We start from the raw sequence: 14,901 nt of genomic DNA on the forward strand, positions 1-14,901 counted from the left end.
TTGAAGAGCCTGGTCTTTGGTCCTGTAGAATTGTCCGCACGTTGGACTTGTCCGATTGCATTTCTGTGGTTGTGTTTAACACGTCCCTCTATTCCCTGTATTTCCCGTAGACCAATTTTTATATCTAGAGGCTCGATCAATGTCAAGTTCAGTTTTGTTTTTGTTTTTTCTTTCCTTGCAAATCAACTTCATTGGAAGTGGTGAATTTTTATTGCCTTCCTTCAGGAGGTAACATAATGTCTGGATTGTCTCTTTTTGTCACTCCTCATACTCAGTAGCTGTCAGCCTGATCTAGGCTGTATGAAGCTCTCCATCAACCTGTCACCTAATGGTTGCCATTAACATTATTTTAGTAGGAGTTGCAAAATGGTGATTTTTTTTTAAAAAGATTCTATCATTCCTTCTTCATTTATGCAGTGGAATTCCTCTATTAAAGATAATTTTCTGAAGACCAGCCTGGGCAACATGGAGAAAGCCCATCTCTACTAAAAATAGAAAAATTAGCCAGGCATGGTGGTGTGTGCCTGTAGTCCCAGCTACTCAGGGGGCTCAGGGCTCAGGGAGTATAACCTGAGCCCAGGACATGGCGGTTGCAGTGAGCCATGATCACACCATTGCGCTTCAGCCTGGGCCACAGAGCAAGACCCCATCTCAAAAAAAAAAAAAAAACAAAAAACAAAAACAAAAACCCAAGATAATATTCTGCCATCAACTATTCGGCTTCTTTGAAATACTGTTTGTTCAGAAAAGGCACAGCAGTTTGCTTCTTTTCTTTAATTTTTCAAGCAAAATATTTCTTGATTTCTCTTGAAAACATGCATTTTTGGCTGGATGCTGTGGCTCACGCCCATAATCCCAACACTTTGGGAGGCCAAGGCAGGAAGTTCACCTGAGGCCAGGAGTTTGAGAGACGCCTGGGCAACAAAGTGAGACCCCATCTCTACAAAAATTTTTAAAAAATTAGCTGGGTATGGTGGCACATGCCTGTAGTCCCAGCTACTGAGGAGGCCGAGGCAGGAGGATCACTTGAGCCCAGGAGTTCGAGGCTGCAGTATTGCACTCCAGCCTGGACAACAGAGCAAGACCCTGTCTCTGGAAAACAAACAGAAATATGCATTTTACTTTCGTAAGTGTGTGTGTGTCATAGGTGGGCCTTAAAATTGCCTGTATCCCTTATGAGACGTATAAGCCTCCCTTTGGCTTGTGTGCTAGCCAAACCACACTTGGTAACATTCTTCTTCCCTTATTAGTTTCTGGTGATTTACAGTGTTTGCATTAGCAGTTACACTGCTCTTTCTGTCACAGTGAATCTCTCTGGGAGGAAGTGAAGTGTTTGGACTTGATTTAATGAAGCTATCACAGACTGATAAAACAGGTTTCAAATATCATAGGGTTATAAGGAAAAAGATGATTTAGAATAATTATTTAGATAAATGATAACAGTACACCATGAATTCCATAATAATTCTGAATATAACTCTTCCCTATGTTAAATAATTAACATTTACAACCATTTAAATATATTTCAATATTTAATATATTTAAATTGTATATTTAAAATAATGTATATTTAAAAATAAGAAAAATGTTCACACAACTCAAACTTGCACCTTGTTATATCTATGTTTCTTCCATTTTAAATTTTGTCATTCATCGATATGAACTGGTTACCAATAAATTTGGATTTGTAAGCTAGGTAGAAAGTTGGGGAAATTTCTGCAGGAATAACCAGGATTAACCAGATAATTTCAAGATTTTCTTGATCTAGGAATTAAGAATTCATATGATATGGTGGCCTGGTGCAGTGGTTCACCCCTGTAATCTCAGCACTTTGGGAGGCTGAGGCTGACGGATCACCTGAGGTGTTTGAGACCAGCCTGGCTGGCCAACATGGCAAAACCCCGTCTCTACTAAAAATACAAAAATTAGCTGGGTGTGGTGGCGGGTGCCTGTAATCCCAGCCACTCGGGAGGCTGAGGCAGGAGAATCGCTGGAACCCGGGAGGCGGAGGTTGCAGTGAGCCAAGATTGCGCCATTGCACTCCAGCCTGGGTGACAAGAGTGAAACTCTGTCTCAACACAAACAAAACAAAAAACAAACAAAAAGGAATTCATATGACATGGGAACTAGAACTATTTCCAAACAGTTGTAATCCGATTCCAAAGAAACCCTGCACTTCTGGTTTCCTGATGATGTCACCCACATAAATGGCTACGTCAAGGAGTCGGTCCTGAGAGCAGCGAGGCAGGAGTGAGGTCGAGTGGGCAGGCGTGAGAGCCGAGCACAGGGGCAGAAAGGAAGACTCTGCACCCAGAAAGCGGAAAGGAGGCAAGTGGGGGACAGGGGTGGGGTCACTGGCCCAGGCACTATGGGACTGCACATCGCACACAACACTAACTTCCCTTAATAAACACTAAGTTAATCTTTACAACTCTTCAGCAAGGCCGTGCACCCCGGGTCCTTCTGTTCTGATCGGAGGACCTCGCCTCTTATTCAGCAGAGAGCGTAGAACCTTTGGCCTCTAACACCGCCAAATCTCCCTTTCACAGACCAACTGGCATCTAAGAGCTCTAGGGGCAGAAGTGCCGCTGTGGGGCACTGATGGGGCAGGGACTGTGGCGCAGGTCACCTCCTGCCTTTGCTGTCTGACGCAGCCTCCCAGGGCTGCTTGCATTTGGCAGGGGCTCCTCCTCCACGCTGCCCTCTCCTGGTTCTCAGTCCTGCTCGGTTTCCAGGCAATCACAGCCCCCTGTGCACCACTCCAGGCACCGGGCTCCTAAAGCAGCCCCTTTTTCAGAGCTACCCTTTAGTTGGTGACACTCTCCACTACCAACCCCAGCCCAGCCCAGATTCCCTCCAAGCACAGTTGTGCTGGGCACAATAGTCATCATCTCTAAGCTTACCTGTGATTTCATCCATCCTCACCTCGTCACCGCTCTCAGAAGCTCCGCGTCCTCCTGGAGGCTAACTCCTCCTCTGCTGTTGTTCCCACTCCGGGCTACCTCCTCACTGCCCTTCCTCCACCAGAGATTCCCTCCATGCTCTCCCCTTGACTTTGTCACCATCCCTGTGCTTATCGCTTTCAGACCACAGTCTTAGTCAAGTCCACCCCGTCTTTTCAAAGAACACCTTCCTTTCCTTTAGACGTCTCTCCCCGTCACCCACCCGTCACCCAGTCTCTCTTTCCCTCCCTCCACCGCCAAGCATTCTGAAGAAATGTTCCCCTCACCCTGAGCTTGCTGCCCCTCCCTTCCATTTCCCAGCCTCCTGCAGTCTCACTCTGTCTCCAGTACTTACTGAGACTGCTGAGGTCCTCAGCGACATGCCCATTGCCAATCCCAGCAGCCTGTGTCCAGTTCTTCACGTTTTTTGAATTCACTGCAACATTGAATGCTTGCCAGTGATGCCTCCTTGCTGAAATTCTTCCTTGGATGAAAAGACACATTGTTTCCGGGTTATCCCTTTTCTCTTTGACTATTGCTTCTATGTCTTACTGAGGCCTCTTTCTATTTCCACCCTTAACCATTAGTGTTCCCAGGATTCTAGCCTCAGCTCAACTTCTTTCATCTCTCCCAGTAGCCTCATTCATCCCCGTGACCCCAGCTACACTTGCAAGGACTCCCAGATCCAAACCTTTGATCCAGCCTTTCACTGAGACATTCTCCAGCTGAATGTTGTGCTGGTCTCTCATATGCAGCAGAGTCTATTCCTCCTCCTCTCAGCTCTCTTTTCTGTCCAACCTAGACCACAGGCATCAGTCTCTAGGACTTGCCTCAGCGTCTCTGGGGTCCCTCCTTCCACTCTACTCCTATAATACGAGATGATTCCAGCCCTCATCCCCTCCTTCCTTGACAGTTGCCATAGCCTCCTAACTCTGCCTCTAGGCTCAGCCCCATCCGATCCATTATTCCTCTGCTTTTAGAAGTATTTTTCTAAATAGATATGGCCATGGCTTGTACCTCAGTATGGGTTTTGTCAAAAGCAGAACCTGAAACGAGGATTCTGGTGTAGTTGTTGTATTTGGGAGGAAACAATAGTATGTGAGTAGGGAAGGAAGACAGGAAAGGGAAGCAGGCCAGTAAAGGGTGTGTTGTCGAGCCAGTTACCTCTGCACGTAACTGGAGCTGAATCTTGCTGGGCAACTCTAGGAGTCTCGTAGAATACATGCCTCAGAGATATCCTGCCTGAGGGGCGAGAGAGCTCGGTTATTTATACTCCGACTCTCATCAGGCAATGAGAGGTGTCAATTCTGTAGCAGTTCATTCCCCTCCTGCATGTACTTGGAGGCAGGGGGCTCATGAACCCCTTAGGCAGTAGAAGTCAAGCCAGCTATTGCAATGGAAAGGCTCAAAGGGCTAGAGAGGGGCACAGATGGAAGGACAGGGACAATCTCTGTCTCATTACCCTCCTGCTTAATAATCCCCAGAGGTCCCCACTGCCCACAGCTGGCCTTTCTGGCCTCCTCCCCTGCACTGCTTCCCTCCATTCACACAAGGGTTCTGAGGTCTTTCCTGAAGAAGACAAGCACCCTCATGCCGGTACGCCTGGGTGTGCATCGCTCTTTCCTCCACATCACCCTTCGCTTTTAGGTTAACTGATAATACTGGCCGCACGTACTGGGCACCTGCTACCTGCAGAGTCATTTATGTATGTTAGTTGATTTAATGTAACCCCTATAATAGCATATGAGTTGACTAGCTAAAAAGAATGATCACTTCCATTCTACAGGTAAGGAAATCACAGCTCGGAGAGGTTATCTCAATGCCTCTGGCACAAAGCTAGCAAGTGGCAGGGCCATGTTGGGAGACCCGGCTCTCTGCTACAAAGCCTGTGCGAGGCACTAACCACTGGGCTGAACTACCTCAGACTTCCTGCCTCAGCTCGGCGGTGGCCTGTCCTTGCTCCTTCTCACCTAAATAGATGTGCTATCAGCTCTGTCTTCCCATAGCCTATGGTACTTTTTTTATGTGGATGTCTTTATTAAGCGTGTGTTATCTTGTAGTGTAAGTATTTATCATCTGACTTCCCTTTTAAACCATAAGTCCCTCCCATTTTAATCTTCAATGCTTGGCCAATTGCGTAACTGGAGTAAAGACTTCGTTAACTTTTAAAAGAGCATTAAGTTGAATTCTGCTGGGCACAGTGGCTCACGCTTGTAATCCCAGCACTTTGGGAGGCGGAGGCAGGCGGATCACTTGAGGTCAGGAGTTCGAGACCAGCCTGGCCAACATGGTGAAACCTCATCTCTATTAAAAATACAAAAAATCAGTCGAGCATGGTGATGCACGCCTGTAGTCCCAGCTACTCAGAGAGCTGAGGCAGGAGAATCACTTGAACCCAGGAGGTGGAGGTTGCTGTGAGCCGAGATTGCACCACTGCATTCTAACCTGGGCGACAGAATGAGGTTCCTTCTCAAAAAACAAAACAAAACAAAACAAAACAAAACAAAGAATTAAGTTGAATGAATGTTGACTTTGTTTCAATACCATGCACACAAATACTGAAGAATGAGACTTCTTAAATAAGACAGGACCTAGTTTTGACTTTTCTGGGCATATTCTGCTGGGCAGGAAAGAAATAAGAACATTAACTCTAATGGACCACAGACAGATGGCCTGCCAGCCAGACAGCGCCCCGCTGAGGGCCAGAGCAGGGCCTTTGCCCAAATCAAGGAGGAGCCTATTGTTTCTTCCAGTTTGTGTATGGAAGGCAAAAACATACAAACAAAAATTCTTTGAAAGCTCTTCAGGCTCTGCAATTTGGGACATGTTTATAGGGCATGTGTAAGTCACAGTGGTCAGTGGCTCTGTGGCCACAGAAGGCATTAAGAGGAAATGTTAGTGGCCTCCTCACCCTTTGTTCCTTAAAGGGCTTCTGCATTGACACCAACAGCCAGAAGGGTTTGCTAGCTTTTAGTGTGGTTATAGTGTGGACTTAGACACTATAAAATGGGAGGAAAGAAAGCTCCTTTTTGGGAAGAAACTTCTACCTATGTCAGCTATGGTATACCAGCTCACAGAGTGCTAAGAAAAAATAAATTTTTTAATTAAAAAAAAACTACATGTGCATGTTTATGAAAACCTGGTTTCACAATCAGAATACTGAACCTGCTAATAAATTTATACCAGAAAAGCATGCATGCTTTGCTGTTAAAAATTAACTTTATAATTTACTTTTTGGCAATAGGGGATAATGAGAAAGAGCAGCAAAGATATCTTTAAAAGGCAGCAGGGAGTCAGACCTCCTCCTCCTTTCTTCACCCAGGTCTGCACTCGTGGGCACTGAGTCGAGACCACCAAATGCATGTGGGTGGGTCTGATACCCGGTGACCTGCAGGGACAGCAGCACTCCCAGCCTCTGCCCACCTGCTGACCGCAGGGCAAAGTGTCTAGTTGTAAAAGGAAAGTATGGCTCCTTCTCCCCTCAACCTGGCCGAATCTTCCAAAGTCATTTGCAGAATATTGACTGCACAGAGCGAAGAACACTTTGTTTACAATGCAGTTGGTGCAAAATGAATAGACTAATGAAGGTGACGTGAATGTCTTTGACTCATATTTATAGATTTTGGCTTCTTTGTTTCCTCTTGAACGTATTCGCAGTGCCTCCTTTCTTTGTCTGTCTTCTCTTCACTTTCATCAAAGGCAGCCTGTTCCTTCTGACCTTGAAATTTCTTTTGTAAACATCATGCCTGTTGGCACCTGAACCCACCTAAAGTTTAAGGGGTCCAGGGGTAAGGGGACTTTTAGAAAACCCTGCTGTCCTATGGCCAACATCAGATAACTGGGGTGGGACATAGTAGCTCATGTCTGTAATCCCAGCATTTTGGGAGGCTGAGGCAGGAGGATGACTTGAGCCCAAGAGTTCAAGACCAGCCTGGGAAATGTAGTGAGACTCCGTGTCTATACAAATAAAAAAAAATTAGCTGGGTGTGGCACGCACCTGTAGTACCAGCTACTCTGCAGGCTGAGGCCAGAGGATTGCTTGAGCCTAGGAAGTTGAGGCTGCAGTGGGAAGTGTTTGCGCCACTGCACTCCAGCCTGGGTGACAGAGCAAGATCCTGTCTCAGGAAAAAAGATAATCTGGAAGACGTTATTATTTGTTTTTGTTTGTTTGTTTGTTTTTTAGACAGAGTTTCGCTCTTGTTGCCCAGGCTGGCGTGCAATGGCACAATTTCCGCTCACTGCAACCTCCGCCTCCCGGGTTCAAGCGATGCTCCTGCCTCAGCCTCTCAAGTAGCTGGGATTACAGGCGCACGCCACCACACCCGGCTAATTTTGTATTTTTACTAGAGATGGGGTTTCTCCATGTTGGTCAGGCTGGTCTTGAACTGCCGACCTCAGGCGATCTGCCTGCCTCGGCCTCCCAAAGTGCTGGGATTACAGGTGTGAGCTACTGCACCCGGCCTTATTTGTTTTTATGGATGATCCTTATTCCTTTACTTATTTCATTTAAAGTTACCTTTAAGATTATTGGAGCTTAAAAAAGAAATATGCAGCTGAGTGAGAAAAGGTTATTGAAAATTTTACTATATATGTGTGTTCATATGCTTAGAGACATTGTGAAAGCAGGTAACTTTTAAACTTCTTTATACTTTTACTTAACTGTGGTGGAATATACATAACATCAAGTTTACCATTTTAACCACTTCCATGCATATAGTCCAGGGGGATTAAATAAATTCACATTGTCGTGCAGCCATCACCCTGATCCTTCTCTAGAACTTTCTTATTCCAAATGGAAATTCCATACTCCTCAAACAGTAACTCCCGTTCTTCCTTCATGTTACCTTTTTTTTTTTTTTTGAGATGGAGTCTCTCTCTGTCACCCAGGCTGGAGTGCAGTGGCACGGTCTTGGCTCACTGCAGCCTCCGCCTCCTGAGTTCAAGCAGTTCTCCTGCCTCAGCCTCCCAAGTAGCTGGGATTACAGGTGTCTGCCACCACGCCCAGCTAATTTTTTAATTTTGGTAGAGACAGTGGTTTCACCATGTTGGCCAGGTTGGTCTCGAACTCCTGACCTCAAGTGATCCACCTGCCTCGGCCTCCCAAAGTGTTGGGATTACAGGCGTGAGCCACTGCACCTGGCCCCTGATACTATTTTGAGTGTGATTCTTACAGTAGTATCTTATATTTTAAAAAACAGGATACACCTTACCTTGGTCCTTAAAGAATATGTTTGCTTATTCTGCTGTGGTTCCAAGATTATTTTTCCTATAAAGTTTCCCCCCTAAGAGCTTATCACCGTGTCTTACAGGCGAGTCAGCCAAGTAAGACATGATGAAAATGCCAGTGTTATGAGGTTCCCAGGCGCTCCTTCATAAAGATCCTGAGAAAAGCTTTTAAGAATGTATCTAAGAGTTGCTTTCAGGGATCTTAACTCAATTAGTGGAGGTTGCTGACCACAGGCCATGTCTAGAGCACAGACTATATCGTCACGTTACTCTGTTGTCTTCTCATTGTTCAATTCAGCAGCATTTTAGAAGGCCCGCTGTGTGCTCTGCACTGTGCTAAGTACTGCGAGAAACAGAAAAGTTGAAGACGTGGTTATTGTCTGAAATGGCAGCTCCTGGGAAAAAGTGCCGTAGAAAGAGGAGCTGGCTATAGAAAATATGGTAATTTCTAACCTAAAATTAATATGCCACTTATGATCATACAATACGAACATTAACGTGTTCAAATATGAGAACAGGAACGAATGCTGGAAATATATTAAAGTAATAACAAACAATAATAATATTAACACCTAACAGTCACTAAGCATCTGTCATGTGCCAAACGCCACACTCGACACTTTACGCGCTTTATCTCATTTAATCCCACCAAGAACAAGAAGCTTACGGTGATGGCTCTTGTCCCCAGTTTAGTTAGAAAAGCTGACACACACAGAGATTAAGGGCATGGTACTAGCAAGTGATGACGTGGGGCTCCCAACTCAGACCTGCCCGACTCCACGGTCCAAGGCTGGTGTTTGTCATTGTTGGGACAACCATTGGTACACTGTGATGTCCAGTCTGGAAATAAAAGAGAGTGGATTTTGTTCTGTTACATTTTATTTTTCACAGAAGTGAAAAGGAAAAGGAAGCAATTCATTTTAAAAGCATCCAAAAGCAGGATGTTGTTTCTGTCACGCCATTGCTTGGGATCTGCTACCAACTCCCTTACTGGTAGCTTAGGCCTCACTGGTTGGGATTCTTTTTTTTAAAAATTGTCTGCCTGGGCCGGGTGTGGTGGCTCACACCTGTAATCCCAGCACTTTGGGAGGCCGAGGCAGGCGGGTCACAAGTTCAGGAGTTCAAGAGCAGCCTGGCCGATATGGTGAAACCCTGTTTCTGCTAAAAATACAAAAAAATTAGCCAGGTGTGGTGGCAGGTGCCTGTAATCCCAGCTGCTTGGGAGGCTGAGGCAGAAGAATTGCTTGAAACCCGGAGGCAGAGGTTGCAGTGAGCTGAGGTCACGCCACTGCACTCCAGCCTGGGCGACAGAGTGAGACTCCATCTAAAAAAAAAAAAAAAATTGTCTTCCTAAGATGTCCCTAGATTCCTTCATGTACAACATCCATGGGGACACCACCATGCAAAGCCAAGTGGTTGGCCAGCAGCCGGTTCCTGCCAGTCTTCCTGTCAGGCTGAGGACTCGTTCAAGAGGAAATTCACCGATGCGTGAACAGCCTGCCTGTTCGTTTGGTGAAATAGGGCAGATTTTTTATTTCATAAAAGTGTAGTAAAGGGAGAGGCTATTAATCAAGGATTTAAATTATGATCATTATTATTTATTATTTTTGAGACAGAGTCTTGCTCTGTTGCCCAAGCTGGAGGGCACAGTGATCTTGGCTCGGTGCAACCTCTGCCTTCTGGGTTTAAGCGATTCTCTTGCCTCAGCCTCCCGAGTAGCTGGGACTAGAGGCACATGCCACCATGCCCAACTAATTTTTGTATTTTTAGTAGAGATGGGGTTCTGCCATGTTGGTCAGGATGGTCTCGATCTCGTGACCTTGTGATCCACCCGCCTCAGCCTCCCAAAGTGCTGGGATTACAGGCGTGAGCCACCGTCCCCAGCTGAGATTTAAATTATTTATTTTATTATTTATTCATTTATTTATTTTGAGACAGGGTCTCGCTCTGTCATCCAGGCTGGAGTGCAGTGGCACGATCTCGGCTCATGCAGCCTCGACCTCCCCAGTTCAAGCAGTTCTCCTGCCTCAGCCTCCCAAGTAGCTAAGACTATAGGCACGCCACTTCACCTGGCTAATTTTTGTATTTTTTGTAGAGATGGGGTTTCACCATGTTGCCCAGACTGATCTCAAACTCCTGAGTTCAAGCAATCTGCCTGCCTCAGCCTCCCAAAGTGTTGGGATTACAGGCGTGAGCCACCCTGCCTGGCTTTAAGTTACTTATTTAAAAAAATTATTGCCCACTCTTTAGCAATGGGGAGGGAATAGTGTTTCTTCCTGGATCTTCAGGAGTGGCTGTCCCTTCTGGGAAGGTGCACTTTTTAGTTGAGAAGTGAAGTTCAGGGAACCTGGTGACAGTGGGTTAATAGTTTCTCAACTTACCTCTTTTTGCCAACTCTGACATGTAGGACTCATTCATTCTTTCAGTCACTGTCATTCATTTATTTATTCATCAGTAAGTGCCTTCCTTGAGCATGGCACACCAAACTATGTAGCAGGGCTCAAAGAACCATCGTGCACAGTGCCTGCCCTCATAGGGCTGGCTGTCTAGTGAGGGAGGTGGGCGTGTGAACAGGCAAATCACACACCAGTGGCCAACACCAGGGCAGAATGATGGACAAAGCACTGCTGATGGGCAAAGAGCACAGAAAACAAAATGACCACCTGGGCCTGGTGCCGTGGCTCGGCAGGAGGATTCTTTGAGGCCAGGAGTTTGAGACCAGCTTGGGCAACAGAGTGAGATCCTATCTCTTTTTTTTTTTTTTTTTGAGACAGGGTCTCACTCTGTCGCCTAGGCTGGAGTGCAGTGGCGTGATCTCAGGTCACTGTAGCCTCTGCCTCCCGGGTTCAAGCAATTCTCTTGCCTCAGCCTCCTGAGTAGCTGGGATTACAGGTACCATCGCCATGCCTGGCTAGTGTTTTTGTATTTTTAGTAGAGACGGGGCTTTACCATGTTGGCCAGGCTGGTCTCGAACTCCTGGCCTCAAGTGATCCGCCTGCCTCAGTCTCTCAAAGTGCTAGGATTATAGACATGAGCCACTGTGCCTGGCCTAAAGATCCTATCTGTACCAGGAAAAAAAAAAGAAAGAAAATTAGCCAGGTGTGGTTACTCACACCTATATCCCAATTACTTGGGAGGCGGAAGTGAAGGCTGCTTGGGAGGATCGCTTGAGGCCAAGAGTTAGAGGCTGCAGCGAGCCTTGACTGAGTCACTGCACTCCAGCCTGGGCAATGGAGTGAGACCTTGCCTCTTAAAAACAAAACAAAACAAAACAAAAAAAACTTTGGCTTGAGGAGTCTAGAAATTAGGAGGTGACATCTGAGCTGTGTCTTAAAGGACAAATAGGAAGTTTCGGGTGGAGCTGGCATCTGCAAGAGCACAAAGCCCCAAGAGCTAGCTAGTGTCCACCTCGTCAAACAGAGGTGGCGTCAGAACAAGAAACTCTCCAGGGCAAGAGGAAAGTGCCTAGATTTCTTGTTTGTATTTTATACCATATAGATAAAATTGTTATTTGTTTTTTGTAAGGCTTTCAGTCACCTTGAGTATCTGGCTAAAACCTATTTTTTATCTTAAACTATAGACACAAAGATTAATGTTGTCAAAGTAGCATAAAAGCTGGTCTTGTAGAAATATTTTATCAACTAAATACACGGAAGAGCTGTATAATAAAATCCTGTCTCCTTAGCTTTTTCTTGTGTGCTGTGTAGTACAAAATATTTTGTTTTTATCTTCCTTCTGTGGTTAATACTTATAAAGCCAGCAACGATTTTATCTGACATTCAGAAATATCAATGTAAAAGCCTGTAAGCCCTGCAAAGAAAATTGTTTTTCTTCATTCTTTTCACCAATACTGGGAAGCTCCCAAAGATATCCAAGGTTAAGCAATTTGCATTCAGATTGTTGTTATTAAGTCTGGTTTCCTTCTCTTTTTTGTGAGACAGAGTCTTGCTCTGTTGCCAGGCTGGAGGGCAGTGGTACAATCTCTGCTCACTGCAACCTCTGCTTCCCGGGTTCCAGTGATTCTCCTGCCTCAGCCTCCTGAGTAGCTGGGATGACAGGCACTCACCACCACACCCGGCTAATTTCTTTGTATTTTAGTAGAGACAGGGTTTCACCATGTTGGCCAGGCTGGTCTCGAACTCCTGACCTCAAGTGATCCACCTGCCTCAGCCTCCCAAAGTGCTAGGATTACAGGCATGAGCCACCGTGCCCGGCCTGGTTTCCTTCTTTTGATAAATGATAACAGAGAAAATAAAGCACATCCACTTATTTTTATTTTAATTTTATTTTATTTATTTATTTTTGAGATGAAGTTTCCCTCTTGTTGCCCAGGCTGGACTGCAGTGGTGCAATCTTGACTCAGTGCAACTTCGCCTCCCAGGTTCAAGCGATTCTCTTTCCTCAGCCTCCCAAGGAGCTGGGATTACAGGCGTGCACCACCATGCCCAGCTAATTCTGTATTTTTAGTAGAGATGAAGTTTCACCATGTTGGTCAGGCTGGTCTCTAACTCCTGACCTCACACATCCACTTAGTTTTAAATATGCTTCAGGGCAGGCACGGTGGCTCATGTCTATAATCCCAGCACTTTGGGAGGCCAAGGCAAGCGGATCGCTTGAGGCCAGGAGTTCAAGACCAGCCTGGCCAACGTGGCAAAACCTCATCTCTACTAAAAATACACAAATTAGCTGAGTGTGGTGGTGTGCACCTGTAGTCCCAGCTGCTTGGGAGGCTGAGGCATGAGACTTGCTTGAACCCAGAGGTGGAGGTTGCAGTGAGCCAAGATTGTGCCACTGCACTCCAGCCTGGGTGACAGAGTGAGACTCTGTCTCCAATAAATAAATAAATACGCTTAAAATGGGAAATGATGACTTCCAGGCTGTGGGATGTTTACTTAAGCAAAAACCTCTATTACGCTACCTGAGAATTCCATTACTCAAGTTTGAATAATTACAAAACTACGTGATGGGCCTGCCCTGTCTGACTTCCTGCACACTTAGACCGAGAACTGAAAGACCCTAGTGTCAAAAATATTTAAGATCTGCCATGAGAAATAGATGAGGGAGAATTAGAGCAAACCCTGGCCCTAGGGTGCATTTTGAGATTGAAATCGCAGCCTAGTCTCTTCCATTACACCATCAGTAAATCTTGAAGGACAGAAGAGTAGCCAAGAACAACACAGGGACAGGTGCGCTGGGCTTGGCTGGGGAGGGAGCCAGGTGAGGTTGTGGCTTCCTGAAGGCCCTCGAAGTTTGCCCCTGCAGCTTTCTTCGGAGAACTGGGAGAACACCATGTGTCACCTTGTGGAGCATTTTAAAAACGAGTGAGAAACCTTTATCGGGAAGATACTACGTGCTGTAAAACAATGACAGTAAGCCGGGCGCAGTGGCTCACGCCTGTAATCCCAGCACTTTGGGAGGCTGAGGCAGGCAGACTGCCTAAGGTCGGGAGTACGAGATCAGCCTGACCAACAGGGAGAAACCCCGTCTCTACTAAAAATACAAAATTAGCCTGGCGTGGTGGTGCATGCCTGTAATCCCAGCTACTCAGGAGGCTGAGGCAGGAGAATCGCTTGAGCCCCAGGAGGCGGAGGTTGTGGTAAGCCAAGATCGCACCACTGCACTCCAGCCTGGGCAACAAGAGCAAAACGCCATCTCAAAAAAAGAAAAGAAAAGAAAAGAAAAGAAAAGAAAAGAAAAGAAAAAAATAATGATAACAACAGTTGATGAAATGCTTTGATTTCCAGAAGACATTATATAAGGAGAGAACTTTACTTGCATGGGACAGCTGATGAGCTCCTCAGCTAGGGAGAGGGGAGGGATTGACTCATTCTTGATGATGGGGCAGGGCCAAGGCTGTAGGGAATTGGGCATTGTCTGGTTGCTGGTGGTATGAGATGCTGGCGGAGCCCAACCCATGCCTCTGGCTGTTATGCGAGGGTGGGAAAATTCCAGTTTGCTAGAACCATTAATAACACAAGTGGAAATCATGGGTAAGTTTACAGTTTATTCAAGCAAGTACTTCTAATTAAACAGAAAAAAAGAGTGTGAACTCTTGACCAAGGCATATTCATGATTTTCAGTAAAATAATTTCTCACTTCTAGTGGTCAAAATAATAATGAAGTGCGAATATGAAGTGAAATGCAACATTAAGGGTTGGTTAACCCCAAATTCTTTCATCAAAGAGCAATATACAAGAAATTGGAGAGTTTTTTTTTTTTTCATACTAAAAGTAACCATTAAGGGTAAAGAACTGAGCCTGGCACAGTGGCTCATGCCTGTAATCTCAGCATTTTGGGAGGCCGAGGCAGGAGGCCAGGAGTTGGAGACCAGTCTCGGCAACAAAGCGAGGCCCTGTCTCTACAAAAAAAATTTAAAAGTAACTGGGCATGGTGATGCATGCCTGTAGTCCCAGCTACATGGGAGGCTAAGGCAGGAGGCTGAAGTGAGCCATGATCACGCCACTGTGCTCCAGCCTGGGCAACAGAGCAAGACCCTGTCTAAAAAAAAAAAGGAGGCTGGGCACGGTGGCTCACGCCTGTAATCCCAACACTTTGGGAGGCCGAGGCATGCGGATCACAAGGTCAGGAGATCAAGACCATCCTGGCTAACATGGTGAAGCCCCGTCTCTACTAAAAATAGAACGAATTAGCCACACGTGGTGGCAGGTGCCTGTAGTCCCAGCTACTCGGGAGGCTGAGGCAGGAGAATGGCGTGAACCCAGGAGGTGGAGCT

At 46.0% G+C, this 14,901-nt stretch overlaps 1 protein-coding gene across 7 annotated transcripts in view, besides 2 other annotated features; it reads left to right on the top strand.

The window, feature by feature from the left end:
* The window catches only part of DRC8 (dynein regulatory complex subunit 8), a 155,548-nt gene that overhangs the window by 135,288 nt on the left and 5,359 nt on the right, over window positions 1-14,901 (top strand). The window contains exon 9 of one of the 7 annotated variants that reach the window (XM_017002538.2): window positions 2,166-6,057. The exons of the other annotated variants lie outside the window; for them this stretch is intronic. Coding sequence (XP_016858027.2) covers window positions 2,166-2,254 — 89 coding nt within the window. The 3' untranslated portion in view covers window positions 2,255-6,057. Of the gene's footprint in view, window positions 1-2,165; window positions 6,058-14,901 lie in introns of those variants that run through there. 7 annotated transcript variants of the gene reach the window in all.
* Window positions 1,967-2,467: an enhancer, noted in NCBI's record as "H3K4me1 hESC enhancer chr1:245270238-245270738 (GRCh37/hg19 assembly coordinates)". NCBI's record gives its function as "activates a minimal SCP1, AML or CMV promoter by ChIP-STARR-seq in naive H9 embryonic stem cells {active_cell/tissue: H9 hESC(naive)}" and the evidence as "EXISTENCE:reporter gene assay evidence [ECO:0000049][PMID:30033119]".
* Window positions 2,468-2,968: an enhancer, noted in NCBI's record as "H3K4me1 hESC enhancer chr1:245270739-245271239 (GRCh37/hg19 assembly coordinates)". NCBI's record gives its function as "activates a minimal SCP1, AML or CMV promoter by ChIP-STARR-seq in naive H9 embryonic stem cells {active_cell/tissue: H9 hESC(naive)}" and the evidence as "EXISTENCE:reporter gene assay evidence [ECO:0000049][PMID:30033119]".

This window comes from Homo sapiens, chromosome 1, assembly GCF_000001405.40.
Source record: "Homo sapiens chromosome 1, GRCh38.p14 Primary Assembly".
NCBI lineage: Eukaryota > Metazoa > Chordata > Mammalia > Primates > Hominidae > Homo > Homo sapiens.